Raw genomic sequence first — 16,094 nt, 5'->3', positions numbered from 1 at the left:
TACAATATATATATAAAATCTCTCTCTTTATATATATATGTATGTATTTATATATATATAAAGAGAGAGAGAGAGAGCGAGAGAGAGAATGCTTCACACTGCACTCCAGCCTGGGTGACAGAGTAAAACTCTGTCTCAAAAAAAAATAAAAATAAAAAGAAGAAAATAAAAGACAGTAAATCGTCTGTTAGGTCTATTTTACCACAATATAAATAATAAAAAGTTTAAAATGTTTGCAAAATACAATGATAAATGATTTTTCACTTTTCCAGATTTTCCAGGTTTTCTATAATAAATATAATCAAGGGGGAAAAAATAAACTTTTTTTTTTTTCAGTGTGTCGGGTTTCTTTCACCTAAACATCTGTGCTGACCACAGGAGCCTGAACCCTGAAGCACCCAGAGCCTGCTGGGCTATGGGCTTCCATCAGCTTTTTCTACCTGACACGAACATTTGGTTTCCATTCCCAACTCTTCTCATAATTCTTGGAGATCATCTCGTGCCGGTTTCGGGTCCAGCGGAAAGAAAGCAGCTCTTGGGAGTGTCAGCTTGCATCCCGTGGGGGTGGCTTTGGCTCAGCCAGCAGTGAGTCTGCCTTTCCCAGTGGCACCCCTGGCCGCCCCCAGAGCCCATCCATCCTGCAAGCTACCCACCCGCTGTCAGCAAAGCAGGCGCGTTTCCTGGTGTGCGGTAACCCTACCCCGGCTCTGCTCCCCAGGGGCGTGGCCAGGTTCTGGGATTAATCTAGGGCAGATGCTCTGTCCGACGCTGAGACAGCTGTCCCCACAAGCAGCTGTCCCGGACCTAGGCCTAGCAGGCAGACAACTTGCAATGCTACCACCCCCTTCCAGTACAGAATATTGAGCTTTCCTGCCAAACTCCTTACTCAGGCAACAGCCTGGACCCTCACATTGGGTCTGGGTCCACCGTGCTCCCTGTTCACTCCTGGTTCACTTCGGGTCAGAATCCAACTCCAGCCTTGTGAGCTCCTGCGTGAGTTGGACTTTGCAGCCCAAAAAGTCAACACAGCGCTGTCCCAGTGGGTCCAGCTGCCGTTGATTCAATAAGGGATTGTTTTAATTCACATCCTGTGCTCAGTGCTGGATTACCTGTCGTGACAGACATAACCTTCTGGGACAGGGCTCCTGACCCCCAGGGGCCTGCGGTTCAGCTGCAGATGAAGTGCGTGAAACGAGAACAAAGCAAGCCAGGGCCAGGTGCGGTGCACCGCTGCACTCCAGCCTGGGCAACAGAGTGAAACCCTATCTCAAAAAAAATAAAGATTAAAATTAGCTAGGTGGTGCACACCTGTAGTCCTAGCTACTCAGGAGGCTTGCTTGAGCCCAGGAGGTTGAGGCTGCAGTGAGCCGTGATCGTGCCACTGCACTTAGCCTGGGCAACAGAGCCAGACCCTGTCTCAAAAAATTAAAAAAAAAAAAAAAAAAAAAAACAAGCTAGGACAGGACCAGAGGAGGCCTGCTCAGGGCAGACACTCGGCAGGAGATACACAATTCAGAATGCAGTCTGGCCAACTGCAGCATCATCCCCTCTCTAGAACTTTTCTCTCCCCTCAGAGCCTTCTACTTCGGACATCCTCTGCAAAAAAGATGAAGCCCCACCCTTGATGAAACTCAACAAGGTTTTGAGGTTTTTTATTCCCCTATTTCTCTGAGGTATAACCAACATATAAAAATTGTGGCCGGGCGCGGTGGCTCACGCCTGTAATCCCAACACTTTGGGAGGCCGAGGCAGGCAGATCACGAGGTCAGGAGATCGAGACCATCCTAGCTAACTACTAGCTAACTAACATCCGGTCTCTACTAAAAATACAAAAAATTAGCCGGGCGTGGTGGTGGGCGCCTGTAGTCCCAGCTACTTGGGAGGCTGAGGCAGGAGAATGGCGTGAACCTGGGAGGCAGAGTTTGCAGTGAGCCGAGATCGCACCACTGCACTCCAACCTGGGCGACAGAGTGAGACTCAAAAAACAAATAAACAAATAAATTAAAAAATTAAAAAAAATTTTTTTCAATTGTATGGGGCCAGGCGTGGTGGCTCACGCCTGTAATCCCAGCACTTTGGGAGGCTGAGGCAAGTGGATCACTTGAGGTCAGGAGTTCGAGACCAGCCTGGCCAACATGGAGAAACCCCATCTCTACTAAAAATACAAAAATTAGCTGGGCATGGTGGCGGATGCCTGTGATCCCAGCTACTCAGGAGGCTGAGGCAGGAGAATCACTTGAACCCAGGCTGCGGAGGTTGCAGTGAGCCAAGATCACGCCACTGCACTGCAGCCTGGGCAACAGAGTGAGACTCCGTCACAAATATATATATATATATATACACACATATATATACACATATATATATATACATATTTAGTGTCGAGTATATATATACACACACACCGTATATACACACACATACTATATATATACACATATATATGTGTGTGTGTGTATATATATATATATATATAGTGTGTGTGTGTGTGTGTATATATAGTGTCAAATTGATTGGATTGAAGAATGCAAAGTATTGTTTCTAGTTGTTTCTGGGTGTTTTCAGAGGAGATTAACAGTTGAGTCAGTGGACTGGGTGAGGAGGACCCACCCTCAATGTGGGTGGGCACCATTCAATCGGCTGCCAGCGTGGCTAGAAAAAGCAGGCAGAGAAGGTGAAAGGAGCTGACTTGCTGAGTCTTCCAGCCTTCATTGTTCTCCCGTGCTGGAAGCTTCCTGCCCTCAAATATCAGACGCCAGGCTTTTCAGCTTTTGAACTCTTAAATGTACGCCAGTGGTTTGCCAGGGGCTTTCAGACCTTCAGCCACAGACTGAAGGCTGCACTGTTGGCTTCCTTACTTTGGAGGTTTTGGAACTAGGACGAACCACTGCTGGCTTCCTAGCTCCTCAGCTTGTAGACGGCTTATTATGGGACTTCACCCTGTGATTGCATGAGTCAATTCTCCTTAATCAACTCCCTTTCATATATACATATATATCCTATTAGTTCTGCCCCTCTAGAGAGTCCTAACACACACAATGACCAACACACATACACACACATTGGAAGACTATAAGAGTCTCCACTGGCCAGGTGCAATAGCTCATGCCTGTAATCCCAACACACTGGGAGGCCGAGGCTGGAGGATTGCTTGAGCCCAGGAGGTCAAGACCAGCCTGAGGCCAGGCACAGTACCTCATGTCTGTAATCCCAGCACTTTGGGAGGCCAAGGCAGGTGGATCACCTGAGGTCAGGAGTTCAAGATCAGCCTGTCCAACATGGTGAAACCCCATCTCTACTAAAAATACAAAATTTAGCTGGCTGAAGCCTGTAATCCCAGCTACTCGGGAGGCTGAGGCAGGAGAATGGTTTGAACCCCGGAGGCGGAGGTTGCAGTAAGCCGAGATGACGCTATTGAACTCTAGCCTAGGCAACACAGTGAGACTCCGTCTTAAAAAAAAAAAAAAAAAAAAAAAACCAGCCTGAACAATATAGGAAGACCCCCATCTCTACAAATAATTTAAAAATTAGTCAAGCATGGTGGCGCACGCCTGTGGTCTCAGCTACTCAGAAGGCTGGGATGGGAGGATCACCTGAGCCCAGGAGTTGGAAGCTGCAGTAAAGAGTGATTGCATCACGGCACTCCAGGCTTGTCAATGGAGTGAGACCCTGTCTCAAATAAATAAATAAATAAACAAACTTGCAAAAAATATTGCCTTCCTTAAAAAAAAAATTATCGGCTGGGCACAGCGGCTCATGCCAGTAATCCCAGCACTTTGGGAGGCCGAGGTGGGCAGATCAGCTGAGGTCAAGAGTTTGAGACCAGCCTGACCAACATAGAGAAATCCCATCTCTACTAAAAATACAAAATTAGGCAGGGCGCTGTGGCTCATGCCTGTAATCCCAGCACTTTGGGAGGCCGAGGCAGGTGGATCACGTGAGGTCAGGAGTTCAAGACTAGCCTGGCCAACATGGCGAAACCCTGTCTCTACTAAAAATACAAAAAGTAGCTGGGCACGGTGGCACATGCCTATAATCCCAGCTACTAGGGGGGCTGAGGCAGGAGGATCGCTTGAACCGGGGAGGCAGAGATTGCAGTGAGCCAAGATCATGCCACTGCACCCCAGCCTGGGCAACAGAGCGAGACTCTGTCTCATAAAAAAGAAAAAAAAAATTAGCCAGGCGTGGTGGCACATGCCTGTAATCCCAGCTACTTCGGAGGCTGAGGCAGGATAATCATTTGAACCCAGGAGGTGGAGGTTGCGGTGAGCTGAGATCGTGCCATTGTACTCCAGCCTGGGCAACAAAAGTGAAACTCCATCTCAAAAAATTAAAATTCAAAATAAAAAATAAAAATAAAAATAAAAAATAAAATTCTCCACCTCCAAAAACCCTAGAGAACTACCTAAAAAAAAATTAAAATAATTTTTTGAAAATTCACAAAGGTAGCTGATACAAAATCGACATGCCTCAAATGAACAGCTTTCCTACCTGCCAAACATAAATGTTTATAAATGGCAAGGAACAAAAGAGTCCTTTCATGACAGCAATAAAAATGATAAAATGCCTAAGTCTAAAAAACTCTGAGTCAATGGAGCAGCAGGACATGTTCCTAAAAAACACACAATGTTATAAGCATGTAATTCTTTCTTGTTTTTGTTTTTTTGAGACAGGATCTTGCTCTGTCACCCAGGCTGGAGTGCAGTGATGTGATCTCAGCTCACTGCAACCTCTGCCTCCGGGGCTCAAGTGATTCTCCTGCCTCCACCTCCAGAGTAGCTGGGATTACAGGCATACATCACCACGCCCAGCTAACTTTTGTATTTTTAGTAGCGATATTCTCCACGTTGGCCAGCCTGGTCTCAAACTCCTGGCCTCAAGCAGTCTGCCCGCCTCAGCCTCCCAAAGTGCTTGGATTACAGGTGTGAGCCACCAAGCTTGGCCATAAACCTGTAATCCTATGACTCCATTAATTTAACACACCCTGATCAAAATCCCAACAGCATTTTTATAAACCTAGAAAAGATGATTTTAAAATTCACCCAAAATAAAAAGATGTATAAGAACAACTAAGAATATTTTGATAAAGAACAGTGAAGGAGAAATTGTTCTATCAGCTAACAAAATATATGATAAAGATATAATAATTAAAACACAGAACTGTGGTTTTGGCACCAGACCAGATAGAGTTCAGTAGAAAATAAGAGTTCAGAAAAAGGATCATGCATATAGGGAAATTTATTATATGATAAAAGTGGCATTTCAAATTAGCAAGGAAGAATGGGTTATTCAATAAAAGTGTGAAGGCAGTTTGGGCAAAAAACTAAGTTAAATCCCTACCTCACAGCCTATGGAGAAACAGAGCCAGGTACGATGGCTCATACCTGTAATCCCAGTGCTTTGGGAGGCCAACCCAGAATTGCTTGAGGCCAGGAATTTGAGACCAGCCTGGACAAGATAGCAAGACCTCTTCTTTACAAAATATTTAAAAATTGACCAGATATGGTAGCATGCACCTGCAGTCCCAGCCACTCAAGAGGCTGAGGCAGGAGGATTGCTTGAGCCCAGGAGTATGAAACTGCAGTAAGCCATAATCATGCAACTGCACTCTAGCCCAGGAAACAGGCCAAGACCCTATCTCAAAATAGCAACAAAATATAAATAAAAATTTTAAAAAACAAATGGAAAATCCATGCTCTAATGACCCTTAGCTCAAGGCTGAATCTTAACAGCCTTTTGATGCCAAAGCCACTTTCAGTCTTAATTCTTTTTGGAGCCTAAGATCAGTGCAACCCTCCAAGGCTCCCCAGTATCTGGCACATCTTTCCCTTTTCATCTCCGTTTGTGTGTTTGGCCAAATAATATCTCCCCCAGGGACGTCCTCTTTCTAATCCCTGAAACCTGAGAAAATGTTATCTTATGCAGTGCTATGGTTTGAATGTGTCCCCCACAAAGCACACATTAGAAACTTAATCCCCAGTGCAACAGTGTTGGGAGGTGGGGCCTAATGGAAGATGTTTAGGTCATAAAAGCTCCACCCTCACGAATAGATTATACGGATTGTAAAAGGGCTTGAGGCTTAGAGTTTAATCTCTCGCTCTTTCTCTCCCTCTCTTTGCCCTTCCACCATAAAATGACACAGCCTTTGCCAGATACCAGCCCCTGGCTTTTGGACTTCCCAGCCTCCAGAGCCATGAGCCAATAAATTTTCATACATTATAAATTATCCAGTCTGTGCTTTTCTATTCCAGCAGCACAAAAGGAACTAAGACACATGGTTAAAGGGACTTGATGATTAAATTAAGCATACTGAAGTTGAGGGGGTATCCAGATGAGCCCAACCTAATCTAAAAGGTCCATACAAGAGAGAGGCAGGAAGATCAAAGTCAGAGAGAAAGGAGGTATCAGAAAGAAAGGTTGGAGTAATGCCCTTTGGAGATAGAGGAAGGAGGTACAAGTCAAGGAATGCTGATAAATTCTAGAAGCTGGAAAAGGCATGGAAATAGGTTCTTTCCCAGAGCCTCCAAAAAGACCAGCCCTGTAAATACCTTGATTTTAGCCCAGTGAGAGCTATTTTGGACTTCTGATCTCAAGAACTGTAAGATAATGAACTGGTATTATTTTAAGTCACTAAATTTGTGGTAATTTGTTACAGCAGCAAAACGAATCTAACACAGCTTGCAAAGAGGTTGGTCATTTCCCAAGCACCCTCTGTAATCCAGGCAAGGATGACAGAGAACAACCTAGAACCTAGAGCTACAGAAGAAAACCAGACAGGACCACTGCCCTGGGAGAATTTGCCATCTCTGGGAAGATAACCACTCATGAATTATCAATTCGTTAGTTATGGAATTTACTCACTGTTGTCATAAGCCTCTAAGTTAGAGAGCTAGCTCTAAGAGCTTTTAACAAAGGAACCTGATATTATCCTGAAGGGCAAGTAAAGGGTCCCTGAAGATGTGATGTTTAAGCTGATCTCTAAAGTCTGGGCAGGAGTTACCTAGGCCAAAAGTCACAAAGACTGATCAGGGTGTGGCCAGAAAGGGGTCCTGATCCAGACCCCAAGAGACAGTTCTGAGATCTTGTGTGAGAAAGAATTTGGGGCAAGTCCATAGAGTAAAGTAAAAACAAATTTATTAAGAAGGTAAAGGAGGGAGGCTAAGGTGGGTGGATTGGCTAAGCTCAGGAATTCAAGACCAACCTGGGCAACATGGTGAAACCCTCGTCTCTATTAAAATATAAAAAATTAGCCAGGCGTGGTAGTGCGTGCCTGTAGTCCCAGCTACTTGGGAGGCTGAGGGATGAGAATTGCTTGAACCTGAAAGGCAGAGGTTGCAGTAGCCAAGATAGCGCCACTGCACTCCAGTCTGGGCGACAGAGAGAGACTCTGTTTCAAAAAAAAAAAAAAAAAAAAATGTAGCTGGGTGCAGTAGCTTACGCCTGTAATCCCAGCACTTTGGGAGGCTGAGGCAGGTGGATCATAAAGTCAGGAGTTCGAGACCAGCCTGGCCAATATAGTGAAACCCCATCACTACTAAAAATACAAAAATTAGCCAGCTATGGTGGCAGGCACCTGTAGTGCCAGCTACTCGGGATGCTGAGGCAGAAGGATCACTTAAACCCGGGAGGCAGAGGTTGCAGTGAGCCGAGATCGCACCACTGCACTCCTGACTGGGCAACAGAGTGAGACTCCGTCTCAAAAAGAAAAAAAAGAAAGTAAGTAAGTAAAGGAATAGAGAATGGCTACTCCATAGACAGAGCAGCCCTAAGGGCCGCTGGTTGCCCATTTTTATGATTATTTCTTGATGATATGCTAAACAAGGGGTGGATTATTCATGCCTTCCCTTTTTAGACCATAAAAGGTAACTTCCTGACATTGCCAAGGCATTTGCAAACTGTTATGGCGCTGGTGGGAGTGTAACAGTGAGGACGACCAGAGGTCACTCTCATCTCCATCTTGGTTTTGGTGGGTTTTGGCCGGCTTTTTTACTGCAACCTGTTTTATCAGCAAGGTCTTTATGATCTTGTGCTGACCTCCTATCTCGCCCTGTGACTTAGAATGCCATAACCATCTGGGTAAGTAGCCCAGTAGGCCTCAGCCTCATTTTACCCAACCTGTATTCATGATGTAGCTGCTGTGGTTCACGCACCTCTGACAAAGGCAGGGGCAACAATCTGTGCAAAGGCCCTGAGGCAGGAAGGATCTGGAGGGTGAGAGGCAGGAAGGATCTGGAGGGTGAAAGGCAGGCAATGGTGAGCAGAGCACCAAGAGAGACCAGGAGCACAGCCAGGTCTTCTCCCATCAGGCAGAGCCAGGACGGGGCTCCCTCCGAGCCCCTGATGCAGAGGCTCACCTGCCTGCTCCACTCCTGCCCTGGTAGACACACATGTTCAGAGTCCCTGTGTGAAGCGTTTCAGGGTCTAATTGTCATCAGTCGCAGAACAAAAGATGGGAAGAGGCTGGCAAATCCTGCAGCCAGCCAGGATCACATCACGGCAGAAATGGGTGCCCGGGGCAGGCCAAGACTTCTTGGAGCCCAAGCATCAGCCGTGTGGCCAAGTCAATCAAAGGAGGCCAGGAAGGGAGATAAACCCTCCCAGAAGAGCAGGAATGACAAAAATGTCAGAAGCCAGAGGCAACTGGCTGGGGCGCAGACAGCCGGAGCCAAATCAGAAGGAAACTGCTACCTTCTCTCAAAGGCTTCGTAACTACGGGGGCTGGGGAAGCCCAAGTGAGACTCCAGTGAGTGTTTGGCAGGCCTGGTCGCCTCCAGGGGCCGCACAGCCGCAGACATCCTGCAACAAACCCTGATCCAGGGACAACTCCCCGGGGAAAAGAAAAGTCTGAGCCGATCATAAAGACTCCAAGCAGGGGACATCCTCCAAGGGGCTGGGAACTGTCGGAGATTCTCGGACAAATGCCGCAGAGTCCTTGCATTTCCAGAACAAGAAAGGGGGTGGGAGATCAAATTCTTGCAAACAAAGACAGATAATATTTAGGCTGCAAACCACCACTCAGTCATGAGTGCAAACAGCTTACACACATGCAGAGCAAATGTCTGTCCCCCCACCGGTCTTGGTGTCCCCAGCCCCCAAGTCTGGAGGATCGCTTGAAGCCAGGAGTTCGAGACCAGCCTGGGTGACATAGGGAAACACTGTCTGTACAAAAAAAAATTTTTTTTGTTTTAGATGGAGTCTTGCTCTGTCGCCCAAACTGGAGTGCAACGGCATAATCTCAGCTCACTGCAACCTCTGCCTCCCCGGTTCAAGCGATTCTCCTGCTTCATGCATATAGGGAAATTTAGTATATGATAAAAGTGGCATTTCAAATTAGCAAGGAAGAATGGGTTATTCAATAAAAGTGTGAGGGCGGTTTGAGTAAAAAACTAAGTTAAATCCCTGCCTCACAGCCTATGGAGAAACAGAGCCAATACCAAGTAGCTGGGATTACAGCCATGCACCACCACACCCAGCTAATTTTTGTATTTTTAGTAGAGACAGGGTTTCAACATGTTGACCAGGCTGGTCTCGAACTCCTTACCTAAGGTGATCCACCTGCCCCAGTCTCCCAAAGTGCTGGGATTACAGGTTTGAGCCACCAGGCCCAGCCCCCCAAAAAATTTTTAAATGATAAATTAGCCAGACATGCTGGTGCACACCTGTAGTCCAAGCTACTCAGGAGGCTGAAGCACGAGGATCACCTGAGTCCGAGAGGTGGAGGCTGCAGTGACCTGTGATTGTGCCACCGCTCTCTAGCCTTGGTGACAGAGCAAGACCCTGTCTCTAAAATGTAAAAAAATTAAAATTTAAAAAAGGATAGATGGAGCCCTCATTCAAATGAACAGCAATGATCAGTCAGCCTATCTACTAAACACATTTCCTCATTTGATTCCAACCTATTTTGTTTTGTTCACTGATGAGGGACTAAAGCAATGAAGGGAAGTTGCTGGCTTAACTGTGGGTCCTTCAGAAGTAAGTCACTGCTGGTCATAGTAGCTCCTACCTGTAATTCCAGCACTTTGGGAGGCTGAGGGAGGAGAATCGCTTGAGCCCAGGAGTTCAAGACCAGCTTGGGCAACGTTGCAAGACCCAGTCTTTACAAAAAATACCAAAATGATACAGGCATGGTAGTGCATGCCTATAGTTCCACCTACTCGAGAGGCTAAGGTGGAAGGATCACTTGAGTCCAGACAGTCAAGGCTGCAGTGAGCTATGTGATCACATCACTGCATTCCAGCCTGAACAACAGAGTGAGACCCTGGCTCCAAAAAAAAAGTGAGTCACTGCAGGCTGGCTGCATGAGACAAGGCAGAAAAAGCCCTTTCCCCCCAACCTTAGGGCCTCCCCAGGTCCCTTCTGCTCTCACACTGTCTGGGACATGAAGCTCATCAGAAATCCTCAGCCGGGCACAGTGACTCATGCCTGTAATCCCAGCACTTTGGGATGCCAAGGTGGGAGGATCACTTGAGGCCAGGAGGTTGAGACTGACCTGGACAACATAGTGACACCCCCATCTCTATTTAAAAGGAAAAAAGAAAAAAGAAAAGAAGGCCAGGCACAGTGGCTCAGGCCTGTAATCCCAGCACTTTGCGAGGCCGAGGCAGGCGGATCACCTGAGGTCAGGAGTTTGAGACCAGCCTGGCAAACATGGTAAAACTCTATCTCTACTAAACATACAACAGTTAGCCAGGTGTGGTGGCAGGTACCTATAATCACAGCTACTCGGGAGACTGAGGCAGGAGAATCACTTGAAGCCAGGAGGCAGAGATTGCAGTGAGCTAAGATCACGCCACTGCACTCTAGTCTGGGTGACAGAGCCAGACTCTGCCTCAAAAAATAAATAAAGAAAATAAAATAAAGAAAATAAATCCTCAGCCTCAGTCCTCACCACAGGCATCTGAGCACCCTCCGATCCCTCCCATCTGCTCCTCAATCACATCTGGGGATGATCCTCTGCACTGACGCCCAAAGTGGCTGAGGTTCAGCTGGGAGTGCAGATAGGCCCACACCCCTCACTCTGGTCTTGAAAACCTGAGCAGGGTCCTAAGAGACAAGGAAAAACCATCAGGATTACAGCTTCTGTTTTCTCCGGCTCCCCTGCAGCAGCAAGGGTGGGCTCAGCTACAGGAGAAGGTCCGAAACGACCCCAGTGAGCAGGCTTAGGACCAGCTCTGGGAGAGCACCGGAAACCTATCAGGACATTTTGCTCATCCTACAAGACCTGCTTTGAATGGAGACTCCTCTAGGAAGTCCTCAGCATTTAGCCCCCATCCACAACAGCATCTCACAGGGTGTGCAGTCTGAAAGACACCACCCTGGCAAAAGGCACCCTAGAAAAGGATTCTGTGGCCTCATATGTTTGTTGTTTTGTTTTGGGGAGGATATTTTTGAGACTTTTTTTGAGACAGGGTCTCACTCTGTCACCCACACTGGAGTGCAGTGACTTAATCATAGCCTCCACCTCCTCGGCTCAAGTGATCCTGCCGCCTCAGCCTCCCCTCCCAGGTAGCTGGGACTATAAGCATTCAACACCACACCTGGCTAGTTTCTATTCTTTTTTTTTTTTTTTTGTAGATACAGGGTCTTGCTATATTGCCAAGGCTGGGCTCATGCTTCTGGGCTCAAGTGATCCTCCCACCTCAGCCTCCTCTCCCAAGTAGCTGGGACTACAATCACACATCACCGTGCCTGGCTAATTTTCTTTTTTTTTTTTTTTTTCTTTGAGATGGAGTCTCACTCTTTCGCCCAGGCTGGAGTGCAGTGGCGCGATCTTGGCTCACTGCAAGCACCGCCTCCCGGGTTCATGCCATTCTCCTGCCTCAGCCTCCCAAGTAGGTGGGACTACAGGCACCCGCCACCACACCCAGCCAATTTTTTTATTTTTAGTAGAGACAGGGTTTCACCGTGTTAGCCAGGATGGTCTGGATCTCCTGACCTCGTGATCTGCCCACCTCAGCCTCCCAAAGTGCTGGGATTACAAGCGTGAGCCACCGTGCCTGGCCAATTTTCTTTTTCTTTCTTTCTTTCTTCTGTAGATATGGGGTCTTGCTATGTTGCCCAGGCTGGTCTCACACTCCTGGGCTCAAGCAATCCTCCTGCCTCAGCCTCCCCTCCCAAGTAGCTGAGATTGCAAGTGTGCCCTACCACACCTGGCTAATTTTTATTTTATTTTTTTGTAGACAGGGGATTTCGCTATGTTGCCCGGGCTGGTCTCGAACTCCTGGTCTCAAGTGATCCTCATGCCTTGGCCTCCCAAAGTGCTGGGATTATAGGTGTGAGCCACTGTGCCCAGCCATGCTTCCTATGTTTGTGAAATCCATCATCTTCCCAAGCTTTGCCAAGTCCCCATCAGCACACTACACCATCTGAGAGAAGCCTTTATCCTTTCATATGGCCTCCTAGAGCACATACTAGACATTGTTCTAAGCGCTTGATTAATATTAACTTGCATAAGCCCCAGAATGACCTTATGAAGGAAACACTCTAATCATACCCATTTTATAGATGAGGTGACTGAGGCATAGAGAGGGCAGGCAACTTAGTCAGGGCCACACAGAACCTGGACTCAGACTCAGGCAGCCTGGTTCCAGATCCTACTCTTCACAGCCTTCCTCTTTTTTTTTATTTATTTAAAAAAAATTTTTTTTTAAGATGGAGTCTTACTCTGTCACCCAGGCTGGAGTGCAGTGGTGTGATCTCGGCTCACTGCAACCTCCGCTTCACAGGTCAAGCGATTCTCCTGCCTCAGCCTCCCAAGTAGCTGGAATTACAGGTGCCCGCCAACACACCTGGCTAATTCTTTGTATTTTTATTGGAGACAGGGTTTCACCATGTTGGCCAGGCCGGTCTCAAACTCCATCATGACCTCAGATGATCTGCCCGCCTTGGCCTCCCAAAGTGTTGGGATTACAGGCGTGAGCCACCGTGTCTGGCCTGTGCACTTTATTTCTATTATTATGACATTGTAATATATAATGAAATAATCCTACTACTCACCATCATGTAGAATCAATGGGAGCCCTGAGCTTGTTTTCCTGCAACTAGACGGTCCCATCTGGGGGTGATGGGAGACAATGACAGATCATCAGACATCAGATTCTCATAAAAGTGCATAACCTAGATCCCTCGCCTGTGCAGTTTACAACAGGGCTGGAGCTCCTATGAAAATCTACTGCCGCTGCTGGTCTGACAGGAGGCAGAGCTAAGGCAGTAATGCGAGCGAGGGCAGCAGCTGTAGAGATGAAGCTTCAGGCTTTTTCGCCTATCACTCACCTCCTGCTGTGCGGCCCGGTTCCTTGAACTGGTCTTGAACCGGTACTTGTCTGTGACCTCAGGGTTGGGGACTCCTGCTTTACATAGATCACTCTGGAGGTAGTTAGGGGTGGGGCAAACAAGGAGATGCAGGGGGCCAGAACGCACACCGCTCTCCTCCAGTATTTCAGAATTAACCTGGACTCAGTCCAGCTTGTTTCAGGGTAGTCTGTTACAGGACTCCGAAGAGAAGCTCTAGACCCTGGTTTCTGGGAGGCAGGTAGAGACAAGGCCAGGCTGGGAAGGCCAGGGACCCCTGACAACTCGGAGGGCAGAACAGCACGGCATGTGTATGTTTCCGTAGGATTGTCTGCAGAATTCCCGGAGCACTTTGTGCTAACATTCCCGAAAATCCTCTAACAGTTAGTTATTGTTGCTCTTTTCCCCTGCCCCAGGCTGAATTGGTCCGGGTCCAGCTCACACACTCTGGAAGTGGCAATGAAGTGTCACACGAGTTCGAGCCAAGAGAAGCCTGGAGGAGTGCTCTTATTGCCATAGGAATTGTTTCTCTGGGAATGGATTTTAAAATAACAGATGAGCTGGGGGAAGAGGGGAGTGAGATGAAGAGAGGGAAGATTCAGAAAATCCTGGAGCTTGAGGACAAGGTCTCACTGATATTAACATCAAAGCCATTCTGTGTGATTCTCAGGAAAAGTCTCCCTCCTCTATGTGCTCACACTTCAAAGGGAGAAGCGGGACCTCTAAAGCTGGAGTCTCCATGGTTCCCCTAAAAGCAGCTTCAGGAGCTGGCCTGTGCAGAGAAAGGGACCTCGCTCCAGGATCCCTCAGAACTGCAAACGTGCACTGAGGCAGAGGCACTGCCTCGGTGTCCCAAAGGAGAAAGGTCAAGGTATTTGTTCATTCATTCATGTGTTCATTCATTCACTCAACAAACTTTCCTTGAGCACCTGATCCGTGCAAGTCCAGGAGATGCTGAAATTTGGGGTTGAAAACTCCATGCAGGAAAAATAAAAGTATTTCACAAAAATGCAAGATGTTTGAACTCTGCTTTGCTGCCATTGCAAACCAAGAAAGTGCTGCAAAAAATTTGCAATGTTCTGAGAAGCAAAGCAGCAGGCTCCTTGGTGTCCCCCAGGCACTGGAGACAGCCAGGAGCTCAGGCCTGTAGCCTGTCTCTGCCTATCCGTGATCCACCAAGGGGCCAGGTCCTGCTAGCTCTGAGCACTCCCTTCTCCCCTGCTCCATCCATCAACTACCTCCTAACTGGCCTCCCTCCTTCCACTATCCTTCCTCTGCCAGCCTCTCCCCGACCAGCAAAGTTGGCACAAGCCTGACTGTGACAAAGCCCAGACTATGAAGGCAAGCTCCTCAAGGTGGCAGGAAGGAGACTTCACATCCAGACTCCAAAAGCTCAGTGCCTGTCCTCTGCCTGCCCAAGCCCATGGTCTGCTCTTGCTCTGTCACCCTGATTGGAGTGCAGTGGCACGATCATAGTTCACTGCGGCCTCAAACTCCTGGGCTCAAGCAATCCTCCCACCTCAGTCTCCTGAGTAGCTGAGACTACAGGTGTGTTCCACCACACCTGGCTAATTTTTTATTTTTGGTAGAGACGGGGTCTTGCTGTGTTGCCCAGGCTGGTCTTGAACTCCTGAGCTCAAGCAATCCTCCCACCTTGGCCTCCCAAAGTGCTGGGATTACAGGCATGAGCCACCACATCCCATTAGTCCAGCCACTCTGAACTCAGTCCCACTAACTATATGTCAGGCAATAGCTAATGACACTTCCAAGCCTTTACACAGTTGTCTGTCTGCCCAGAATGCCCCAGTCACTGCCTCAAGCTCTCCTGTTCATCCTACAAAACCCACCTCCTATGTTGACTCCTCTGAGAAGTCCTCAACATTTAGTCTCTATCCACTAGAACATTTCCCTAAGTATGTGGTCAGGAACACAATCCTAACAAAATGCTCCCCAGAAGGCCAGGTGCGGTGGCTCACACCTATAATCCCAGCACTTTGGGAGGCCAAGGCAGATGGATCACTTGACGTCAGGAGTTCAAGACCTGGCCAACGTGGAGAAACCCCAGCTCTACTAAAAATACAAAACTTAGCCTGGCATGTTGGTGGGCGCCTGTAATCCCAGCTACTTGGGAGGCTGGGGCAGGACAATCGCTTGAACCCTGGAGGCGGAGGTTGCAGTGAGCCAAGATCGCACCACTGCACTCCAGCCTGGGCAACACAGCCAGACTCCGTCTCAAAAAACAAAATGCTCCCCAGAAAAAGATTCCAAGGCTTCATATATTTGTGGAACTCCCCCGTCCTTGCAACCTTTGCAAGGCATATGAATGCAGTCCACGGTCACATTCATGAACAGAGGGTTTACTATCCTTTTTCCTAAGAACATTATTAATATTAACCCATGTAAGCCCCAGAACAACTTAATGAAGTACTGAAGTCATTCCCATTTTACAGATGAGAAAACTGAGGCACAAAGACTCCCAGGCTCCCACAAACCCTAACTCCCCTAGCTCACTTTGCACACATTTGTATCACACCAAATTCCACTCTTGCTCATGGATCTGTTTTCCCCAACCAGTCTCTGAGCTCATCAAGGACGGAGGCTGGGTCTGAAACATCTCACTGCCCCAGAGACAGGGTCTCACTCTGTCACCCAGGCTGGAGCGCAGTGGTGTAATCATAGCTCACTGCAGCTTCAACTTCCTGGGTTCAAGCGTTCTTCCCACCTTAGCCTCCCAAATACCTGGGACTACAAGTGTGCACCACCATGCCCAACTAATTTTTTAAAGTTTTTTTTTTGCAAAGACA

At 47.7% G+C, this 16,094-nt stretch overlaps 1 protein-coding gene across 5 annotated transcripts in view, besides 2 other annotated features; it reads right to left on the bottom strand.

Moving 5' to 3' along the window:
* COL26A1 (collagen type XXVI alpha 1 chain) overlaps nt 1–16,094 on the bottom strand; it is a 196,637-nt gene that overhangs the window by 171,317 nt on the left and 9,226 nt on the right. The gene's annotated exons all lie outside the window — the stretch shown is intronic.
* Nucleotides 815–1,430: an enhancer, noted in NCBI's record as "H3K27ac-H3K4me1 hESC enhancer chr7:101029559-101030174 (GRCh37/hg19 assembly coordinates)". NCBI's record gives its function as "activates a minimal SCP1, AML or CMV promoter by ChIP-STARR-seq in primed H9 embryonic stem cells {active_cell/tissue: H9 hESC(primed)}" and the evidence as "EXISTENCE:reporter gene assay evidence [ECO:0000049][PMID:30033119]".
* Nucleotides 14,551–15,089: an enhancer, noted in NCBI's record as "H3K27ac-H3K4me1 hESC enhancer chr7:101015900-101016438 (GRCh37/hg19 assembly coordinates)". NCBI's record gives its function as "activates a minimal SCP1, AML or CMV promoter by ChIP-STARR-seq in naive H9 embryonic stem cells {active_cell/tissue: H9 hESC(naive)}" and the evidence as "EXISTENCE:reporter gene assay evidence [ECO:0000049][PMID:30033119]".

Source organism: Homo sapiens, chromosome 7 (assembly GCF_000001405.40).
Source record: "Homo sapiens chromosome 7, GRCh38.p14 Primary Assembly".
NCBI lineage: Eukaryota > Metazoa > Chordata > Mammalia > Primates > Hominidae > Homo > Homo sapiens.
This window is presented reverse-complemented; position numbering and strand designations above follow the sequence as displayed.